At 42.8% G+C, this 20,891-nt stretch overlaps 2 long non-coding RNA genes across 6 annotated transcripts in view; one reads left to right on the top strand and one right to left on the bottom strand.

Moving 5' to 3' along the window:
- The window catches only part of WDR11-DT (WDR11 divergent transcript), an 89,368-nt gene that overhangs the window by 19,720 nt on the left and 48,757 nt on the right, over window positions 1-20,891 (top strand). The gene's annotated exons all lie outside the window — the stretch shown is intronic.
- LINC02930 (long intergenic non-protein coding RNA 2930) overlaps window positions 6,149-20,891 on the bottom strand; it is a 216,730-nt gene continuing 201,987 nt past the window's right edge. The window contains exons 1-4 of one of the 5 annotated variants that reach the window (XR_946366.3): window positions 12,696-13,635; window positions 11,632-12,087; window positions 7,020-7,074; window positions 6,149-6,695 (exon numbers count right to left, since the gene is read on the bottom strand). This is a non-coding gene — a long non-coding RNA (long intergenic non-protein coding RNA 2930). Of the gene's footprint in view, window positions 6,696-7,019; window positions 7,075-10,357; window positions 13,646-14,057; window positions 19,430-20,891 lie in introns of those variants that run through there. The other 4 variants (XR_002957103.2, XR_007062314.1, XR_001747608.2 and 1 more) reach the window with 4 other exon arrangements.

Here is a 20,891-nt window from a genome sequence, read left to right as displayed (position 1 = left end):
GAGTAGCTGGGATTACAGGCAAACACCACCATGCCCAGCTAATTTTGGTATTTTTATTAGAGACAGGTTTCACCATGTTGGCCAGGCTAGCCTCAAACTCCTGACCTCAAGTGATCTGCCCTCCTCAGCCTCCCAAAGTGCTGGGATTACAGGCATGAGCCACCGTGCCTGACCATATTCGTGTAATTTTATTAAACTATGAGGAGACCACATAGCTGATTTGAAGTACTATGAGTCAGTGTTGAACATGGTATCCTGCTCCTGAGTCTGGCCTGCATGTAGTGTGACAATCTGCATCCTTTGTATGTTGTGTGGTTTCATGGTCCACTGTGGAGCTCAGAGTATAGAGTTCTTCAGTATATCTCTTAAAATCTATCGTTTGAATAACACTTTGTTGAGATATAATTCACATATAAAATTTTTGAAGTGATTGAATATACTTACAATATGAGGAGCAGACAATGTAGGTGTCCTGCCCATACCTCCTATCCGACACCTTTACCATTTTTGTGGACAATGGCTCCTGATAAAGGCTTTCTACTCCCAGCTGCTAGAACCCTGCAGTGATTAACCAATGACTGAAGTTTACAGGGTGAGGTGGAGTATAACTATTCCAGCTCCCTTCTCTGCTGACTGGAACAACACTGTCCTCCACTGTTTCCAGAGCTTCTCTGTGGAACCAAGCCATAGGTTCACCTCCATGGGACTTCACTAATATTGCAGCCTGACTTGTCTTCCTTCCCTTTCCGGTCCCATTTTCCATTTCCTAACTGTTTTTCCGGAACACTTTCTAGTTAATCACTGTCATGAAAGACCCTTGTCTCTGGGCATGCTTGTGGGGAGTCCAACCTACTACGACACATGGCTCATGGCCATTGTTTCTCTGTGTGATCCAAAGAAAACCCGCATCCCAATCTCACGCTGGATTTGTTCAATACGGATTCCTGAGTCTCATCCAAACCCAATGAGTCAGAATGTCTAGGATTGGGGCACAGAGATCTGCATTTTGAACAAAGCTGATCCCCCATCCCAAGATTCTTCTGCACCCTGGAGTGTGGGAACTGTGGTTCTAGTCAGTACACTTGATGTCAAGATGTTGCAAATGCCCTTGTCTAGATGAAGACTTTACCGTACTACATTAAGGGTCTGCAAGAGAAAACCCAGCCAAGGATTCTCAGAACAACCCGAGCAACTTTCCTATCCTGTCTCTCCTGATGAAGGCTCCTGCTGCTTCTTATGAGGTGAGGAATATGGAGGTGGGAGTTGAAGAACTGTATTGCAAAGTGTATTTGTGTAGAAGCTGCAACCTAAATAGGTAAGTGGGCTATTCAGACTTTAAGCTAGTTAGTATGATTGGATGCCTGTCTAGCCATGTATTTCCCATCTCGTGTCTAATAGAAACCAGACTTGATTCTGCTATCTACCCTTTCCCAAATAATCCACATACCTCCCTTGGCTCCCTAGAGCCTGACTGATTATTCCTGATGGGTCCAAGGGGTATTCCTCCTTCTTTATCAGGGGTTGGTTCAGGAATTGGCATGTGATATGCAGCTCGTTGATGAGACATGAGAAGCATTTTGCTGGAAATTTCTGGAAACATACTTATTTGCCTCCCTGAAAGTTTTCCATAAGAAACTCACCCTTTCTCCTATTGGATGTGAACAAGGGAATAGGCCTGGTTGCTGCTAGAAGCCACTCTATGACCAAGAGGATGCTTTAGGATGCAGTTGAGGCTGGATAGCAGAGGAGAGTCCTGGAAAGAACCTCGGTCTTGATTATATCATGAGCCTGATTCTGCCAATTAAACCAAAGCTAACCCTATCTTTTGATGTCCTCTTTGTTAAGCAATGGATCCCCAAATTGTTTAATCAATTTGAGTTGGTTTTCTGTTACTGCAGCTTAAAGCATCCAGATTGACCTACTTTGACACTGAAAACAATACACCCTTCAAAAGTTGAACTGTGGTGTAAAATATTGGTATAAGCAGTGTCTGAGGCATTCTTTAATAAGAGCCAGTGAACAGTCCACACTCCTTGTCAGTGGATGGCATCAGATGCAAAAGGCACATCTGCCTCCTATCAGGATGCATCGGGCTCCTCTGAAAGCAGGAAGCATCCAGCTCCTGCGAAGTCAGGAGGCATTGCCTGTGAAGGCAAGCTCCCATGTGTTCCTGCAGCATCAGAGCTTGGCAGGCCCTGTTTTTGACCAGCATTGCAGCCGCCCAGCTATAGTCTGGACACTCAGCCTTGAGTTGCTCCACTGCTTTTCTTAGGACCTCACTCTGTTCTTGATTTCTCCATTGCTATCCCAACAGGCAGGGCAGGGCCGCAGTCACCGACTTGAGTAGTGCTTTTATTTATACTCATGATTAATTTGTGGAGGCCCAGGGGGAAGACAGCAAGTGAAAAGCTGTTGCCTGGGAAATAAGATTCTTTTCAGAACTTTCTGAGAAACATTGAGTTTTTGATGTTTCACACAAAAAAACAGAGCTTCATGTAAGAGCTGAGCCACCAGGGAAACCCTCCTGTGTCAGGCTAGAATGCAGGACTTCAGAGCCTAAAGTCTTTTTTGACTTTTTACTCTGCCTAAATGTTTTAAAACTGGCTTGAGAGAAAATTTGCACTCTCCTCTGAAAGTTAGATCCACTCTTAATAAACTCCACACTGACAGAAAATTCTAACAGCAGCAGATTCAGGGGGACCCCAGCCAGCTCTGCCTCTCCATCCTCCCTGGCTGGTGTTGGCTTACTCTGTGGCATGTTCCTCTTTTTTGGGCCCTCACAGAGAGGATATCTGTGGGACCTGGAGAGGACAGGATTATATACCATGGAGGAACTCCCTGTTTTCCCTTGCGATAAAAGCTTGTTGCAACAGAAGCTGAATTTCAAGGGTAGCATAACAGTAGGTTTAATAAAATATTAAAAACCATGCCATCTTAGATGAGTATAGGGATGCTTAGATCACATAAAAAGATGCTCCAAATCAGAATTTTTGGTTGCAGGGGACAGAGAACGAACTCAAAGTAGCTTTAACAAAAAGAGAATTCTTTGGCTCACAGAATCCAAGAAAGGAAAACTTCAGAAAGGAGAGGGGCACAGGTGAGACAATCAGAACTAGGGAGTCAAGTACAGACTAGACTCTCCCTGCATCTCTCCTTTCTGCTTCTCTCTCAGTGTTGGCTTTTTTCTCTCTTGCTGCAGACTATTTTTCACCAGATGGCTGGCAAGGTGACTGTCAGCAGGTTTTCAGCTATATCTCATTGCTTCCTATAGCTCTTTCTCAATTCCAGAACAACTCATGAAGAAGAACTTGAACTCACTCATTTGGATCAGATACTTGGAAGAACCCTGTTTGGCCAGGGAAAGCCAGAGATCTCATATAGCCATGTGGATGGGGAAATGTTTCTGGAGGAAGGAAAGGGTTCACAGACAATCCCTGAAAGGCTCACTCTACAGAGCCTTGACTATGTAGGAGAATCAGTCAGCAAACATCACAGCTAGAATTCACTGTGAAGATCACCTTGTCCAGGTAACCAGGAATCAGACTGATCAAGGGAATATCAATGGTCACACAACACATTACAGGGAGAGGAGAGACTACTACCGAGGTCTCTTGGAGTTGTATTTTTTGCTTTTCTCTATATATACTAGAAATACAGTAAAAAAAATTGAGTGTGTTTGTCCTCGAAAGAAATGTACTTCTCAATTTCTTATGAATCCCGTGACATACAGAAATTTGTAGACTGTGGTGGCCTGTTATTGTTATTGCTGTTGAAAGAGGAATTGAGAATCTCTACCTTCTCCTATGTTAGAAAGGAGGAGGGGTAAGGGACACTCCCATAAGCCAGGTGCTGTGCTCAGGGCTTCACATTTGTCATCCCATTTAATTCTCACAGCCCACTATGCGCAGGAATCCGCATTTTACAGATGAGGAAACTGAGACTTGGTAAAATAAGGTAACTTGCCTAACATCTCCTAGTGAGTAATGCTAGGGCTTGCTGGCAGGCAGCAGGTTAGAGATCCTCTCCATGGACCCCCCATGTGTGTGGGGTGGGGGTGCAGGTAGTTGGCTGAGAATCTGCTCAGTTCTGATGGACTCTGCCATCCCTGCTATAGACTCCTAATGAATCTCTGAGGGATGTTTACTATTAAGAGTTGCCTGTCCTCTATTCTCCCTGTCCCAGCAGGAAAGACAGCAGCCCTGGGAAGAGACAGATACCTGAGTCCAGGTAACTAGAAGCCACCTTCAGTCTAGGCTCTAAATCGGCCTGAGGAGACCCTTACCACACCCACCTCATTGCCTGGGCCTTGAGCTCAGCAGCACCGATACAAACCATTGTTTGGAATGTTATCTATATCTTCTCTCTAAACAAGGAGTAGGCCAAACCTTTTTTTTTCTTCTTCTTCAAAATTCAGATATTTGACTTTCAAATATCTTTCATAAGCACATCATAATGAAAGTGGTGGGTTATCCAGATGGGGCCTTTTTGCAGTTTTGCCAATTAGATTACAATATGTATTTATTCCCTTAATGGTCTACAAAGAGGCTAAATTCTTTCATAATGTCACCTTGTGACAAAGCTGACAATGCTAATGAAGTAACTCCTCTCCCTATTGCCCCCTCCCTCAGAGCAGTCATATCTTACCATTTCATCTCAGAAACTCTTCACACAAAATCACTTGAAGTGCTTTGGGGGACTGTATTGTAAGGATGAATTTGTGCCATGAGTGTGAAATTCAATTTATATATTTTCACCTGGTTGTCCAAGTATAAGAAGGCTTTTCCAGTGCTTAATGGAGCTGTTTATCTGTAAATATAAGCACTAATGCAATGTGATTTGCATGGATCTGGAAGCTGCCTTTTTTCTCTGGCATGAGTACCCAGTAAACAAATAAAAGGGCTCTGGAATCAGGCAGAATTGCAAATGGCCTCTTTTCTCATGGAGAGGGTGAATCTCCAAGGAACCATAGAAATGAGCCAGACTGTACAATCTCATTGTCAAGGCACTTTGATTCCTAATCTAGAACATTCTCTTCTGAATTTTGATTCAGTGCTTCTGAATTCTGGTAATAGAAGCCCTTTAAGATCAAGAATGTCTGGAATTTAGACATAGAAGCAAGCCTGGCCACGATGATAGCTCTATCTCAGTAATCCTATAGAAATTACTGCTGCTGCTGTTATTATTGCATCAATTTCTTATGTAGAAATTTGCAAACTGTTTTAGAATCATTTCTTGCAAAAAAACAAGTGCTGACTATTGTTAAAGAGGGTTCAAAAATTGCTGACAACTAAAGAAAGACTCTGATGAGGAAGTAAATAACCGAAATAATAACCAAGGCTAATTATAGAAATCTGAGAAGAGATGATGTTGCATATAATAATGACGGTAGTAGCTCACACTACATAGTGTATGCTGTGTACTAAGTGGTTTACATCATTGAACTGATTTAAGTGTTAACCACCTGAAGAGGCAGGTATTACTGTTATTTTATAGATGAGGAAACTGAGGTTCAAAAAAATCAAGTAACTTGCACAAGCTTATACAGTTACAAAGTGACAGGGCCACATTCAAACCTAAACCTGTCTGACTCTAAATCTTGAGCTCATCACCACCAGCTCATTCTTTCAAATGCTAAAGGTAAGCGTTTCTCACTCCCTGATTTTGGGTGCTATTCCAGGTACCATCACTGTCCGAGGTAGAATCGACTCAGGTTTGTACACTGAATCCTACTTGTACAAAGCACTAAAATGGTGGTTCTCATACAGGGATGGTTTTGCCTCCTAAAGACATTTGACAATGTCTGGAAACGTATTTGGTTGTCACAAATTGGGAGAGAGTGGGGAGGTGTTGCTGGCATCTAGCAAGTGGAGGCCAGAGGTGCTGCTAAACATCTTGCAAAGCACAGGACTCCCGCCCTCGCCCCTCCCCCACAACCACCAAAGAATTATCCAGCTCCAACGTCAATAGTGCTGAGGTTGAGAACCCCTGTATTCCATAAATTACCACTTGGATTCTAAGTAAAAATAGAGCAATCATACTCTTTTGCCCCCTTTTGATGTAGTGTGGCATTTGCCAAGGAAGCAAATTACAGTCTTGGAACCAGCCACAGATGCTGACTCTAAAATGAATGGATTCTCAAAGATCCCACTGGGTGGGTGGACCAGATATTTTATTCTACAAACCAGGACACTGTGAACGGAGACATGAATTATAATTACTCCATGACAACAGGCATGAACCTGGAAGAATGCTCTCCCCGCAACCTGAGTTTCACTGGTGAAAGCATGTTAATTGCAGAAGCCAGTGCGGCAGAAAAGATCAAATGCTGCAGCACGTGTCTTGGCAACGTCTTCAAACTCCCCCAACTTAAAGGTGCATTTTCCCACCAAGAACTCAAAACCAGATTAGATTTCCAAAGGCCCTTCCGAGGTCCCTCTGCTCTCCACAAGGGTGACACTTAGCGCCATCTGTTGGTGTTGTGCAGAGCTGAAAAGCTTTTGCTCTGCAGCCAGTTTCGCTATTTTTGAAAGTTCATCATTTGAACGTTGGCAAGTCAAGGATCTTCTATAGTTCAGTTTGTCTTGGCCAACACCCCGCCAGAGAAGTCATGTGTCATGGTTGTTTTGGATAGTAAAGCAAGTGGGCAGGTCTGGAATCTGAGTCTCTAGGTGCATTACTGAGCCCAGTTATTCTTTCTGTCAAAAGAAGAGGCAAGTGGTATCACGTGTTAAATACATCCCCATGGGTATAACTAGATTTCAAGAAAAGCTTGAAATTTTTTTATTACAGCCATATTTAACAACCATAATTTGGTAGTTAGGTGACTGAGGTGTGTGCCAACTGTACTCCATCCCCTTCTTCCACTCAAGAGGGCATATCCAAATGGAAATGAGTAGATGTAATTTTATTATAAGGATACTCTTGGATACTCCCTACTTTATTATAAAGAGATTTATTCACAGATTTTAATTCACGATAGCAATTGTCTGTGACCTGCCTCATAATCTGCCAAGACTCACCAGTGTATTGGACACCATGCTTGGGAATGGGGCTCCCTTCCGTAGTGCTCTGTCTCTGGGGAAATAAACACAAACAGCAAGAAGTAAAATAGAGCACTCCCTGTACTTCTGGTCTTCTAATTGTTTTACTTATTTTGAATTCAAAGTCCAATTTCCTGGTTAAAGCTCATGAGTTTTAGGAAGATAACAGTAGATACATTGGGCAGTAGGGAGGTCTGAAGTGGCCGTGTGCAAACCAATCATGGAAAGACGGACTAGTGGACAGGACACACACGTGAAGGATAAAGAGGCCACAACGGGGTGAAGTTTTTTGATAAGGAGCGGGTTGGGCCAGGTGCGGTGGCTCACGTATGTAACCCCAGCACTTTGGGAGGCCAAGGCAGGTGGATCACCTGAGGTCAGGAGTTCGAGACCAGCCTGATCAACATGGAGAAACCCCATTTCTAATAAAAATACAAAATTAGCTGGGTGTGGTGGTGCATGCATGTAATCCCAGCTACTCGGGAGGCTGAGGCAGGAGAATCACTTGAACTCGGGAGGCGGAGGTTGCAGTGAGCCGAGCTCGCACCATTGCACTCTAGCCTGGGCAACAAGACCGAAACTCTGTCTCAAAAAAAAAGAAAAAAGAAAAAAAAGAAGAGAAGAAAAGAAAAAAGAAAAGAAAAGGATTGGGCTCCCACTCCCATCTCCCATCTAGAGGACAGGATACTGATAAAGTAAAAGGTTAGGTTGAGAGGTTGACGCAGGGCTTTATCAACGATCTGTCTGATTCTACAACTAGCAGAGGCAAATAAGCATGCTGTGTTTCTTTCCTTTAGAGAGATGGTGGCAGCTGTAGGCAGAGAGTGGCCCACTGACAACCAGAAGAGGAAGACGAATGATCCTGGCTCCTCAGAGAATTTCTAATGGAGTTTTCTCCTCTACTGCATTCCATTTTTCCTTGCCACAAATCCTGAGTTCCCTCTCTTGCTGGCTGAAATACATTCCTTTCTGTTGGCAGACACAAATTTGACAGTGCAGCAAGCTGTGGGCTATGATTCAAACTAATACACACCCAGGGTTCTAAATGAAAGCCAGGAATCGCTGGGGCAGGAATGCAAACCATGGAGCTGAGGGGGCCTCCTGGAGTTCTAGAGGGGCCCAGAGGCCTCTGCAGGGCTGGACTGTACATTGTCTGTCTTCCTCTTGTCTCCCATCCATTTGGGCTTCTCTGTTTTCTTTTCATCCCATTCCCATCCCTGCTTCACCTCTCCCCAACCATTCACAGCACAGAAGGTTTCTCTGTTTCCTTTTTATCCCACTCCCATCTCTGCCTAATCTCCCGCCACCCTTCACAGCACGGCTATAGCACTTCAGGAATCTCCTCAATTGACTTTCTGATTGGGGTTGGGGAAGACGTGTCTCTCTCTGTAGCAACTGCTGCTCAGCTAAGGCAGGGAAGCTTGGACAAGAAATGAGCCTAGAGACATCAGCCTGTTGGACCTCAGCTTGCAGAGTTAAAAGCATATCTTGTCTGAATCAATGAATGGGTAGTGGGTATGAGTCTTACCCTACATCTGTGCACATGAAAAATGTCAGAGTGTTTTTATTTTTCTAAATCAACTTTAATCTGTTCTGAGCTCCCACCAACCAGACTCACTGGAAACTTCGTCTTGGTCATAAGCTAGGGGTTTTCCTTCTCTGCTTCTGAGTTGTATGCAAGCCTAGAAAATATGGCAGAGTCGGCCGGGTGCGGTGGCTCACGCCTGTAATTCCAGCACTTTGGGAGGCCGGGGCGGGTGGATCACAAGGTCAGGAGATCGAGACCATCCTGGCTAACACGGTGAAACCCCGTCTTTACTAAAAAATACAAAAAATTAGCCGGGCGTGGTGGCGGGTGCCTGTAGTCCCAGCTACTAGGGAGGCTGAGGCAGGAGAATGGCATGAACCCAGGAGGCGGAGCTTGCAGTGAGCCGAGATTGGGCCACTGCACTCCAGCCTGGGTGACAGAGCGAGACTCTGTCTCAAAAAAAAAAAAAACAAAAAGAAAAGAAAGAAAAGAAAATATGGCAGAGTCCAGGACATTTACAGAAGGCTCCTCTAGTCTGTGGCTCATATTCTTTATTTAAGAAGTACAGCTCAGTGCCCTGAGGGCGGATAGTGGCAGGGACTCCTTGGCAGGCTTCATGTGGGGTCTTTTCTGGGCCTAGGAGGCTTACTCCTAACTCATTTCATAGGAAGTCCTACCAAGGTCCCATCCACAGTCCCAATCCCAGTGTGCTTCCTGGGAATGAGACATGGGTTCCTACTATCCATGCAAGGCCTCTTGAAGCCTGGGAAAGCTTTAAGTGACCTCGTTCCCTCTCCGTGGTTTCAGCATCACCTTACTCCTCAAATTTTACCCGAACCCTTCCCATATCTGTGACCTTCCAACATAATTGTTATATGAGTCCAGATTTTTGCTAAAGACCAAGCTGTCAGCAAAGTTAGTTCCTTCTGAGGGCTGTGAGGGAGAATCTGCCCATGCTTGTCCCCGGGCCTCTGGTGGTCTGCCAGCAATCGCTGGTGCTCCTTAACTGGTGCTGCATAACCCTGACCTCCGCCTTCATCTTCATGTAGCCTTCTCCCCATGTGCTTGTCTGCATCCAAATCTCACCTTTTTATAAGGACACCAGTCATCTTGGATGAGGGGCCCACCCTACTCTAGTATGACCCCATCTTAACAAATTACATCTGCAGTGACCCTATTTCCAAATAAAGTCTTAGGTATTGGGAGTTGGGGCTTCAGCATATGAATTTTGAGGTGGGGGTGGACACAGAATTGAATCCGCAACAGTGATCAATTTTCCCCAATTTGCCTGAGACTGTCTTGGTTTTCAAGCTGAAAGTCCCATGTCCCTGGAAACTTCCTCAGTCCCAAGCTGACCAGGACAACTTAGTTGGAGACAATGCCAAAATAGTAACCCAAAAATGTCTAATTCTTGGTGACTTTCTGCTGTATGGGTTTCTCAGGAACTTCAAAGGAAAGGCTGGCCAGGGACACATAAATTTGGCTGTTCCTGGGTTCTTAGATGAATGTCACTTTTTAAACTTCTGACACCCTGCAGATGTTCACTAAGCATTGATGGAAATGGAGAGAAGTTTCAAAGAGAAGAGAGCTCAGATTTGGGCTATGGGACAAATGTGGAAGGAGGAAGAAGGAAATGAAAGGTGGAGTGTGGACAGAGTGGTGACTCTTGGAAAGGAAGACCTGAGGGAGGTAAGGTGAGGTGTCTACCTGAGATATCAGAGTGCAGAGGGGATGGCCTGTGGGGCACTTGTACCTGAGGCCCCCTTCTCCATGGGTGGCAAATCCTCACCTATCGAGTGAGCCATCATGCCCTGGAAGTCCAGCATCCAGTGGTTCCAATCTCTCTGCCATAACTACTGCCAAAACTAAAAAACTACTATGTTTTTTAGTTGCTACCACTTCAAAAGAGTGAAGAGTCATTTCAACTCTTTAATTCTCCCATAAATTAAAGATAATGACCATAGTGTGCTTGGAAAACTATGTTTAGGCCGGGTGCAGTGGCTCACGTCTGTAGTCCCAGCACTTTGGGAGGCTGAAGTGGGAGGATCGCTTGAGCCCAGGAGTTCAAGACCAGCCTGGTCAACATAGCAAGACCCTTCATCTACAAAAAAATAAAAAAATTAGCCAGGCTTGGTGGCATGTGCCTGTGGTCCCAGCTACTCAGAAGGCTAAGGTGGGAAGATTGCTTGAGCCCAGGAGGTCAAGGCTGCCGTGAGCTGTGATCATGCCACTGCGCTCCAGCCTGGGAAACAGAGCGAGACTCTGTCTCTAAAAAAAGAAAAGAAAAGTTATGTTTAAATCATGCTTAAAACACACATATATTGCAGTTTTGGTATAAGTCTCCAACCAGGACTGATTAATTATGGTCCGAACTTTGAGTAGGAAACCTATTTTAGAAGTACAAAACCTTATCATAAGAGAATGGTCCCGCCACATCCACTGTGTTTGACTGTTGCTGCTGTTTAAAAGTTAGGTTTTAGAAAGCTTATGTAGATGACTCCCAAGGGGTCCCTGTGTGATATGACATGATCTGGAAACAATTCCCTCAAAGCAAGTTTTCTGATTACTGATCCAGCTAATAGAATAATCAAAATAAACTCTTTCACAAAAGTCACTACCATTTGTGAGCAGGGGAATAATTTCAGAAAAAGGTATGATTTTGAAAAATTACAGCAGCTGCTCTTATTAAATAAACATTCTCTTTTCATAAGGCCAAAGATGTATCACAGCTCAGATGAGACACAGTTGATTAAAAAGCATATTGTTTGCGGTCTATTGGTAATACTATTTCTCAAGCAACAATTGTATATAGAGTAAGATTTATAGGAACTCCAAATACTTGAACTAGAATAGATTTTCTCTCCATTACCCAGAAATTTGTGCTCCTTTCCGTATTGCTAGCAGCCCAATCCTAAAAGACAGTTTTCCTAGTTTTAATTAAAACATCAGAAAAGTTGGTGTATGGCAACCAAGATACCTATTCTACAGACAGAAAAATGGAGATGCTTAGTGCCTTGTAGAAATGTGATTAAGGAGTTGGACAGAAGCAGAGTCATCTCTGACCTCAGCTTCAGAGTTCCAGGGAGTCCAGCTGCACCTTCCCATCAGTGCTTCAAGAGGTATCTGACTTGATATTTTCTGTGGGTCCTGGACATTCACCCCTGCAGCCAAGGGCTTTCATTTTCAGGAGTGTTCAACGTGTGCCATCTGTTCTCCTTGATGAGTGATTATTAGTGAATATTTGGCTTTGCACTCCTTAGTTTTGAAGTCATTACAGTGTTCGCTCTTTCCTAATGAGTAACCACCACCTGCGGTTGGAAGTCAACCCAAAGGATCTGGCTGGGTTTTATCACCGCTCTATGTTCTGTTTCATGCAATGAAGCAGAAACACCTTCATCATGTAAAGAGCTCTCAACTTGACACATTCATCTGTCTTTCATTTTCACTTGTCTCTCCTCCATGCAGGGATAGAGTCACAGGGAATCAACTGAGAGAGGCAGGAAGCGAGGTGGCCAAGAGCTGCGTGGTGAGAAGGAGCACATTAGGCTTGGAGGGCGCTGGCTGCTCTTTGGTTCTGCTGCATTGAATGAAAGCCACTCAAGGAGTGGGCTTTTATCTATCTATCTACTTATTTTATTTGTATTGAAATATAATTCACATACCTTAAAAGTCACCCCTTCAAAATGTACAATTTAGTGGGTTTTTAGTATTTTCACAGAGTTGTGCAACCATCACTGTTTAATTCTGGAACATGTTCACAGCCCCCAAAAGAAACCCTCTACCTCTTAGCAGTCACTCCTCATTTTCCCCCGGCTCCCTTCCAGCCCGTCCCTGGCAATCACCAACCTACTTTCTGTCTCTATGGATTTGGGCATTTTGGCTTAAAGCTCCACTCATGGGGTCCATTGCCATCTGTTTATGAATAGCCAAGAAAGAGGGAGAAATTACAGCCCAGGGAAAAGGAGGGAAAATCAATCTCTTGACACTCCCCATTGCCTTCTGTGAAGTGACAATGCCCCAATCTCTCTTCTGTAACTGTACTTCATGTCTTTCTTTTATATACAATGTGCATCCCTGCTTGAGTAATCCGTTCATGGCTCCTGGAACTCTTCCCCTTCCCCACTCACTCTTATGGCTTTAGCTCTCCTGGCAGTGGCCACACGACTCCTGGGCCTGCACCCTCCTTTGAAGCTTTGGTTATATCAGATACAGTGCTTGGTGCTCAAATTAGTTTCCTGTTGCTGCTGGAACAAATGACCACAAACTTTAAGGTTTAAAATAGCACAATATATTCTCTTATAGTTCTGGAGGTCCGAAGTCTGAAATGGTGCATCCGGGCTGAACCTACGGTGCTGGCAGGGCTGCGCTCCCTCCAGAGGCTCTAGGGGAGAACTGTGGCCTTTCCAGCTGCTAGAGCTGCATTCCTTGGATTCTCTGGCTCTGGCCCCTTTCAAAGCCAGCAAAGTAGCATCTTCAAACCCCTCTTGGCTTGTTGTCATATTGTCTTCCTTGACTCTGACACCTTCTGAGTCCCTCTTTATCATATCTGCAAAGTAAGTGCCCTTTGCCATGTAAGGTAACATATTCACAGGTTCCAGGTATTACAACATGGACCTTTGGTGGGGGGGGCACTATTTAGTCTACTATAGTATTCAAAATACTATGTTCATTGAGAGGAAGAAAGGAAGGGAGAGAGGGAGGGAGGGAGAAAGAAAGAAAAAAGAAAGAATGAAAGAGAGAGAGAGAAGAGAAGAAGAAGGAAGGAAGGAAGGAAGGAAGGAAGGAAGGAAGGAAGGAAAGAAAGAAGGGGCCAGGTGCTGTGGCTCATGCCTGTAATCCCAGCACTTTGCAAGGTGGAGACAGGCAGATCACTTGTGGTCAGTAGTTCAAGACCAGCCTGGCCAACATCTACTGTCTCTACTAAAAATACAAAAATTAGCTGGGCATGGTGGTGCACACTCGTAATTCCAGCTATGCGGGAGGCTGAGGCAGGAGAATCGCTTGAAACCAGGAGGCAGAGGCTGCAATAGCCAAGATCGTGCCACTGCACTCCAGCCTGGGTGACAGGGCGAGACTCTGTCTTAAAAAAAAAAAAAAAAAAAGAAGAAGAAGAAAGGGAGAAAAGAAAGGGAAGGGAAAAGAAAGGGGAGAGGAGGGGACGGAAAGAAAGGGAAGGGATGGGAGGGAGGAAGGTGAGGAGGGAGGGAAGAGGGAAAGAGGAAGAAAAAGTATATCATTATGCTTCCAAGATCTCTGTTCTGCTGATTGTTCTGATGGACAAGGAGAGAGGACTCTGGGAAAGGCAGGCTGTTTGGAAGTGCCCTCAGTCCTACGGACTGAAGATGCCAGGGAGGTGGAAGTAGGGCATCTCTATGCTTCTTTTGACCACCTCAACTCTCCTTTCACCTGCTTCCAGCTTTGGCCAGGCTTAGGGTGCAGGACCTGAGGCAGAGAGAGAATGCTGGACAATGATAGTAAGTCGCACACACCTAGGGGCCCCATGGAGCTGTGAACCACTGCCCCAGCAGGACAACTCTGTTCTCCCCGCTGTTTAACTACAACTGGAAGGGCAGGAAAAGAAAGCAATTGGAAGAGAATTAATAAAAACAGTGCATAGTAAGGCTTTCTTCTCTGCTTGCTCAATAGTCCCTAAAGTAAGAATATCTGAAATGTGAAGGTTGTGTATGGTCCAACAGTAGAAGCCACCCCAAACATTTGACAATTTAGCACATTATTTTCACGTGAGTTTCTGCAGATGCAGCAATCATGACTAATGCATAAGTGAATAAATAAGCTAAAAAGTTCCCCCCACATCAAAGCTTGAAGTCAGATTTGGGCTTGCATATATGTAGCTATATTTAAATAGCTTTTTGTTATTTTTACAAATTATTTTTAAAAATTACTGCTTAAAGCAAAAATAATAATATATTGTGTGGTTTATAACATAGGTGGAAGTATAACATACGATTACAATCGCTTGAAGGCTGGAAGGTAAGAAGTAGTATTAGGCTTGAAGATAGGTGGGATGAGTTTAATATGTCACTCAACAGACAGACTCCATTTCATTTTGTTCTGGAGAATATGATACTTTTCATACAAAAATATGTTACTTAACATGGATTGAGTTTATTATTGTTGTATTAAAATGAATCAATATTTTACAATATCAGCTTTAATTTGTAACATGATAAACATTGATAGATACATAATCCACAAGAACAAAAGCTCTTTGTAATCTTCAATCTTAAGACTGTAAGAAGTGCTGACACCAACAAGTGTGAGAACTGCATGCCCTTGAAAAGAATCTGTCAGGAACACATATACACTGTTGGTGTGAGTGTAAATTAGTTTAACCATAGTGGAAAACCGTGTGGCACTTCCTCAAAGACCTAATGTCAGCAATAACATTTGACCCAGCAATCCCATTGCTGGGTATATACCCCAAAGAATGTAAATTGTTCTATCATAAAGACACATGCATGTGTATGTTCATTGCAGCACTATTCATAACAACAAAGTCATGAAATCAACCTAAATGCCCATCAATGACAGAATGGATAAAGGAAATGTGGTACATATACATCATGGAATACTATGAAGCCATAAAAAATGAGATCATGTCCTTTGCAGGAACATAGGTGGAGCTGGAGGCCATTATCCTTAGCAAACTAATATAGGAACAGAAAACCAAACACTGCATGTTCTCACTTACAAGTGGGAACCAAATGATGAGAACTCATGTACACATAGAGGGGAACAACACACACTGGGGCTTGTTGGAGGGTAGAGGATGGGAGGAGGGAGAGGATGAGGAAAAACAATGAGTACCAGGCTTAATACCTGGGTGACAAAATAATCTGTACAACAAACCCCCATGACACAACTTTACCTATGTAAAAAACCTGCACTTGTACCCCTGAGCTTAAAATAAAAGTTAAAAGAAGAAAAAAGAAAATAACATGTCATCCACTGTTCATTAAGGTCCAGGCATTGACTCCAGAGTTTATTCTCTAAGGACGCTACTGCTCTGCATCTCAAATGTAAAAGGAAAAAAAAAAAGTTGTTTTTTTCCCCAAAATTCAACATCCATTCATTAAAAGAACAGCAATCTAAAAATAGAAAAGAACAGCATTACCTGATGAAGAGTCTCTGCTAAAATGTACAGAAATATCATACCTGAAGAGTGCAACATTGCATATATTCCCTCTGAAGTTAGGAATAAAATTTTCCTTGCTTTCATCACTGCTTCTATTCAACATTGAAAAAAAAAGATTTTAAATCAGTGCAGTAAAATAAGAAAAATAAATAAAATGTATAAGACTTAAAAAGACAGAAACAAAATTGCTGTTATTTTATTTTGCTGTTATTATAGACAAAATTTTGTTGACACAAAAATTTCCAGTGGAGCTACAGAAAAGCTACTGAGAAATAGGACAGTTCTAATGGTGACTGCATAGATCAATATAAAAATGAATACTGTTCTTATTTCCTAGGAACTATTAATTATAAAATGTAATTTTAAAAAACACTAAACTTGATATTTGTAACAGACATTTGCAGATACAACAAAATTTAAAAAAAAAAACTTTACTGAAATATTTAGAAAGATATATAAAAACCAGTTCATTGGCAGGAAGATTTAATATTATAAAGAAGACATATCACTTCTGCACTTTCATTGTTAGTCTAATAAAAGTCCTAACAAGACTTTTTTCAGAATTGGACAAGCTGATCCTAAAGCCATATGTAAGAGTAAAGAGTGAAAAAATTCCCAGACAAATTTAAAGGAAGTGGCCATATGTGTGGTAAGGGAGAAAGCTGGGATGGGGAACAAAATTTTTCTTATTAGATAGCAAAGCTTACTGTGTTAGTTCATTTTCACACTGGTATAAAGACTGCCAGAGACTGGGTAATTTATAAAGGAAAATGGTTTAATTAACTCACAGTTCAGCATGTCTGAGGAAGCCTCAGGAAACTTACAATCATGGCAGAGGGTGAAGGGGAAGCAAGGCACCTTCTTCACAAGACAGCAGGAAGGAGAATGAATGCAGGAGGAACTACCAAACACTTACAAAAACCATCAGATTTCATGAGAACTCATTGAATATCATGACAACAGCTTGGGAGAAACTGCCCCCATGAGCCAATTACCTCCATCTTGTCTCTCCCTTGACACATGGGGATTATGGGGATTATAATTCAAGATGAGATTTGGGTGGTGACACATAGCCTAACCATATCACTTACCATGGAGCTGTAGAGAGTAAATCAGTGCAGCATTGTCCTGGGATGTCAGGCAGCCTGGACACTGAGCCACATATAGATGCAAGCTTGGTATATGACAGAGGCAGCTTTAAAATTAGCAGAAGGTAATAGACCAAACAAGTAATTCTAGCACATTTTCAGAAGAAGATAACATTTGATCATTATCTGCCATCATATTAAAAATAATTCTATAATGTAAAAATATGAATGTCAAAAACAAAACTATAGAACTGTTAGAAGAAAACATGGGCAAATATCTTTATGAGAACAGAATAGGAACCGATTTGAAGAAAACCTTTTTTCATGATAGGAAAAGTACAAGTCACAAATAAAAAGTGTGATAAAGTTTTCTAATTAACAGTATAAACTCACTTGCCAAGAAGCAGGAAAAAACATGAAAAGATAAGAACAGATTTTACAATCCATGTAATTAACAAAATATCAGTAACCAGAATGTAAAAAGAATCCCTATTTAAAAGACAAACTCAATAGAAAGATGGGGAAAATAATATAAATAGGAAATTCCTTGAGGGGGAATATTTCATGATCCGTCAACATGAAAATATTCTCAACCTCTCACACAAATAAGCACATTTCAAAATGAAACAGCAGTGACATACACACACATCACTTACGTCAGCTTAGGACCATTAATAAGCATGCTCATACCTAGTGTTGGTGAGGACGTAGAGGAATGGGCACGCTGTACCATCACTGGAGATGCTAATTGGTCCAAGTGGCCACTTCAGAGAGTGATGTAGCATCTCTCAGTACATTCTCCTTTAGAGAAATCCACATTTGCACAAAAGGGACATATCCACGGGTGTCAGTGCAGCTCTGTTATTTCATAGCATGTAAGTGGAAACTACCCATCAGTAGAAAAATAGATAAATAATCTGAGGTCTCTGAATAAAGTGGAGGCTGGAAGTAGATCAGTATGGTACCAACGTAGGTACATTTCCAAAACATAAAAGCAAACAGCAAAAGAAATGAACAGTATTTCACCATTTATCTAAATTTAAAAAACACACAATAGTGTATATACTATTGTTGTAGTATCAGGGCCAAGGGAAAATTCTCCTTTACCTTCTAAAGGTTTACTGAAAATCACTGACAAGAGGGAGATTAATAAGAGAATGGACATACATATTTATTTAGTGTATTATTTAGTGTATACACGGGAGCCTTCAGAACAGAGACTCAAAGCTACAGGGGAAATTGTCCATTTTTATGCTTAAGTTCAACAACCATGTAGAAATATGATTGGACAGAAAAGGTATGATCTAATGCTAATAGCTGACTGAGTGAGGAAATCCAGCAAGGCCCGTCTGTCTAGATTCTTCTCAGCCTCTCAGAGCATGCACTCCTTCCTTCTGGGCGTGGGGCAGAACCCTCTCTCGAATGGGGCTCTTAAGACCTACAGTCAAATAACGTAGGTCAGATAATTTCTTCATGGTCCGTTTTTACACAGACAGGTGGAGGAAAAGTTAAAGTAACATTTTTAAGTTTTATGGCTGGCTTTGGGAAGAGGGGTTCTGGTTTCTATGACCTGCCTTGGGGAAGAGAGATTCTAATTTCTCTGCCTAGCCTCAGGGGAGAATGGAACTGAGAGACAGGAGAGCAGGAGAAGGTCGGAGAAAAACTTTTGCCTCTGAAGCTGCTTCTGAGGTCTGCATTTCAGGGTATTGTTTTCTGAGTCCTAGCAGTAGAAATGGTAAAAATACATTCATCACAATAATTCCCATTAGCCTTAATAGTGGATACTGTTGAGGAAAGGTAAGAAGGAAGGAAATGAGAAATGAGTTGGGGATTTAGCTGTATTTGCAACGTTTTATTTCCAAAAGTTGTGAGCCAAACATATATGACAAATGTTAGCTGTTTGCTTTTGGTGAAAGACATCATTTTTTGTACTTCCTCTGTATGTTGTAAACATTTGCATAATTAATCAAATCTTTTTTTAAAGATTATGTAAATGGCAAAAAGTTTTTACCTGTAGAATAATCTGCCTCCCCCAAAGTTATCCGTGCCCTAATCCCCAAAACCTATCAATATATATTTCTTTTCATGGCAAAAGAGACTTTGCAGATGTCATTGAATTAAGGATCTTGAGATGAGGAGATTTTCCTAGATTATCTGAGTAGGCTCAACATAATTACGAGGAATTACAGGAATACAGGCAGCCTCTCGGAGCTGGAAAAGGCAAGGAAACAGAGTCTCCTCCAGAGCCTCCAGGACAAAATGAAGCCAGATGAGACCCTGATTTTAGCCTCGTTTGACCCATATCAAACTCTGATCTCCAGAACTGTAAGATAATAAATTCGGGTTGTTTTAAGCTATCAAAGTTATGGTAATTTGTTAGAGCAGTCAGAGGAAATTAATATATTAGCTCATCCTAATTTCTGTTTTTAAAATTAAAATGAGGTCTGTAATCTGCCAGGTCTCTTAGTTCATTTGTGCTGCTACAACAGCATTCCATGGACTGAGTAATTTATAAACAATAGAAATGTATTTCTCACCGTTCTGGAAGCTAGGAAGTCCAAGATGACGGCATCCGCATTCAGCATCTGGCGAGGGCCTTTGCCGCATCCTTACATGTCTGGAGGCAGAAAGGCAAAAAGGACCTAGATGGTTCCCTGGGGCCCTTTTATAAGGTACTGGTCTCATTCATGAGGGATGGCTTCATTGCCTTCTAAAGGCCCCACTTCTTAATACTCACACATTGGGTCTTAGATTCCAACATATGAATTTTAGGGTGACATACATTCGAACCATAATACCAGGGAAATGTTCTAAGGTTTATTCACTCAACAAGTACTTATTGAACATGAGTGCTGCTATGCCCCAGACACTCTGCTGTGGACTTAAGATAGAAAAGTGAGATAAATTTGACAAAAGTGCCTGCTCTTTGGGGAAAGAGTGGGTGGAGACAAGAAATAAGAAAAAAATAAAGTTAGAATATAAATAGAATATTAGTACAGTGGTGAATGCTACAGAGACAAGAAACATAACAGGTATGGGGCTTGGGAGTATGGAGGGTGTGCTTGGGTGAGAAGTGATTACAATTTTCAGAACGGTGCCCCAGTCAGGAAGGCGACACATGAGCCAACTCTTGGAAGAGATAAAGGGAATCTGGTCATATGGATGTGCAAAGGAAGAGTGTTCTAGCAGAGGGAACAGTCACTGCAAAGCCCTAGGCTCAAGTATGCTCAGTGCATTTGTGGGACACAAAGAGGCCAATGGGGCTGGCACAGAGAGAGCAAAGGGGAGGGTTACAAGAGCTACCCCAGAGAGGAAGGAGAGAGGTGGGTTGTCAAGATGTTCCCGAAGTTAGTGGCTGCGTTTGATGTAAATATAATCCTAAAAAGCCACCATGAGTCTAAGACTGCTTTTCCATGCTAGGAATATTTATACAGTGGCAGCCATGAATGCTACGGCCTGTCACCCTGTTACTCTGCATAGCAGTGTGTGGGCAGCCCAGGCATCGGCTTGGTGTGAGGGAATCTATTTCCGATAGGGGACCCAGGGCGTTTGGGGCTGGGGCAGTGGCTATCAGCTTGCCCAGAATTATCCAGTGGCCTGAGGCAATGCTCCAGGAGTGCTTAAAGCAACTGGCCTCCTTGGCTCCCACTAAGTAATGCTGAGGTCTGTCAGTGGAATTCATTTTTCTAGCATTCGCACCAAAAGTGTCCAGGCAGCCTACAGTAAGCAACACATCACTGGTGGGGTGCCCCAGGCAGATTGGAGAAGCTGTGGCCACATAGAGTGGGGGAAAGAGCAGGGGACCTCCCTGAGCCTCAGTTTTCTCCTCTGTAAGTGGAGTGTGCTGACTCCCCAGGATTATGCAAGAGTTGGAAGAGCAAGGATGTTGGGGAAATGCTGGGCAAGCAAGCAGCAAGTGCTCAAAGGATGCTGAAGCCAGGGCTTCCCTCCCTTCTTTCCTTCTTCCTCTCCTGCTTAGCATGGTGTTGGGTCCAGGAACAAAATAATCTAGAATACAAAAAGTGTGATAGGTGAGCTGTTGGGAAGGGCTGCAGGATGGGCTGCTGGCAGCCTTCCAG

Source organism: Homo sapiens, chromosome 10 (genome assembly GCF_000001405.40).
Source record: "Homo sapiens chromosome 10, GRCh38.p14 Primary Assembly".
Lineage (NCBI taxonomy): Eukaryota > Metazoa > Chordata > Mammalia > Primates > Hominidae > Homo > Homo sapiens.
Note: the sequence above shows the minus strand (reverse complement) of the source record. Positions and strands in the feature narration are given on the sequence as shown.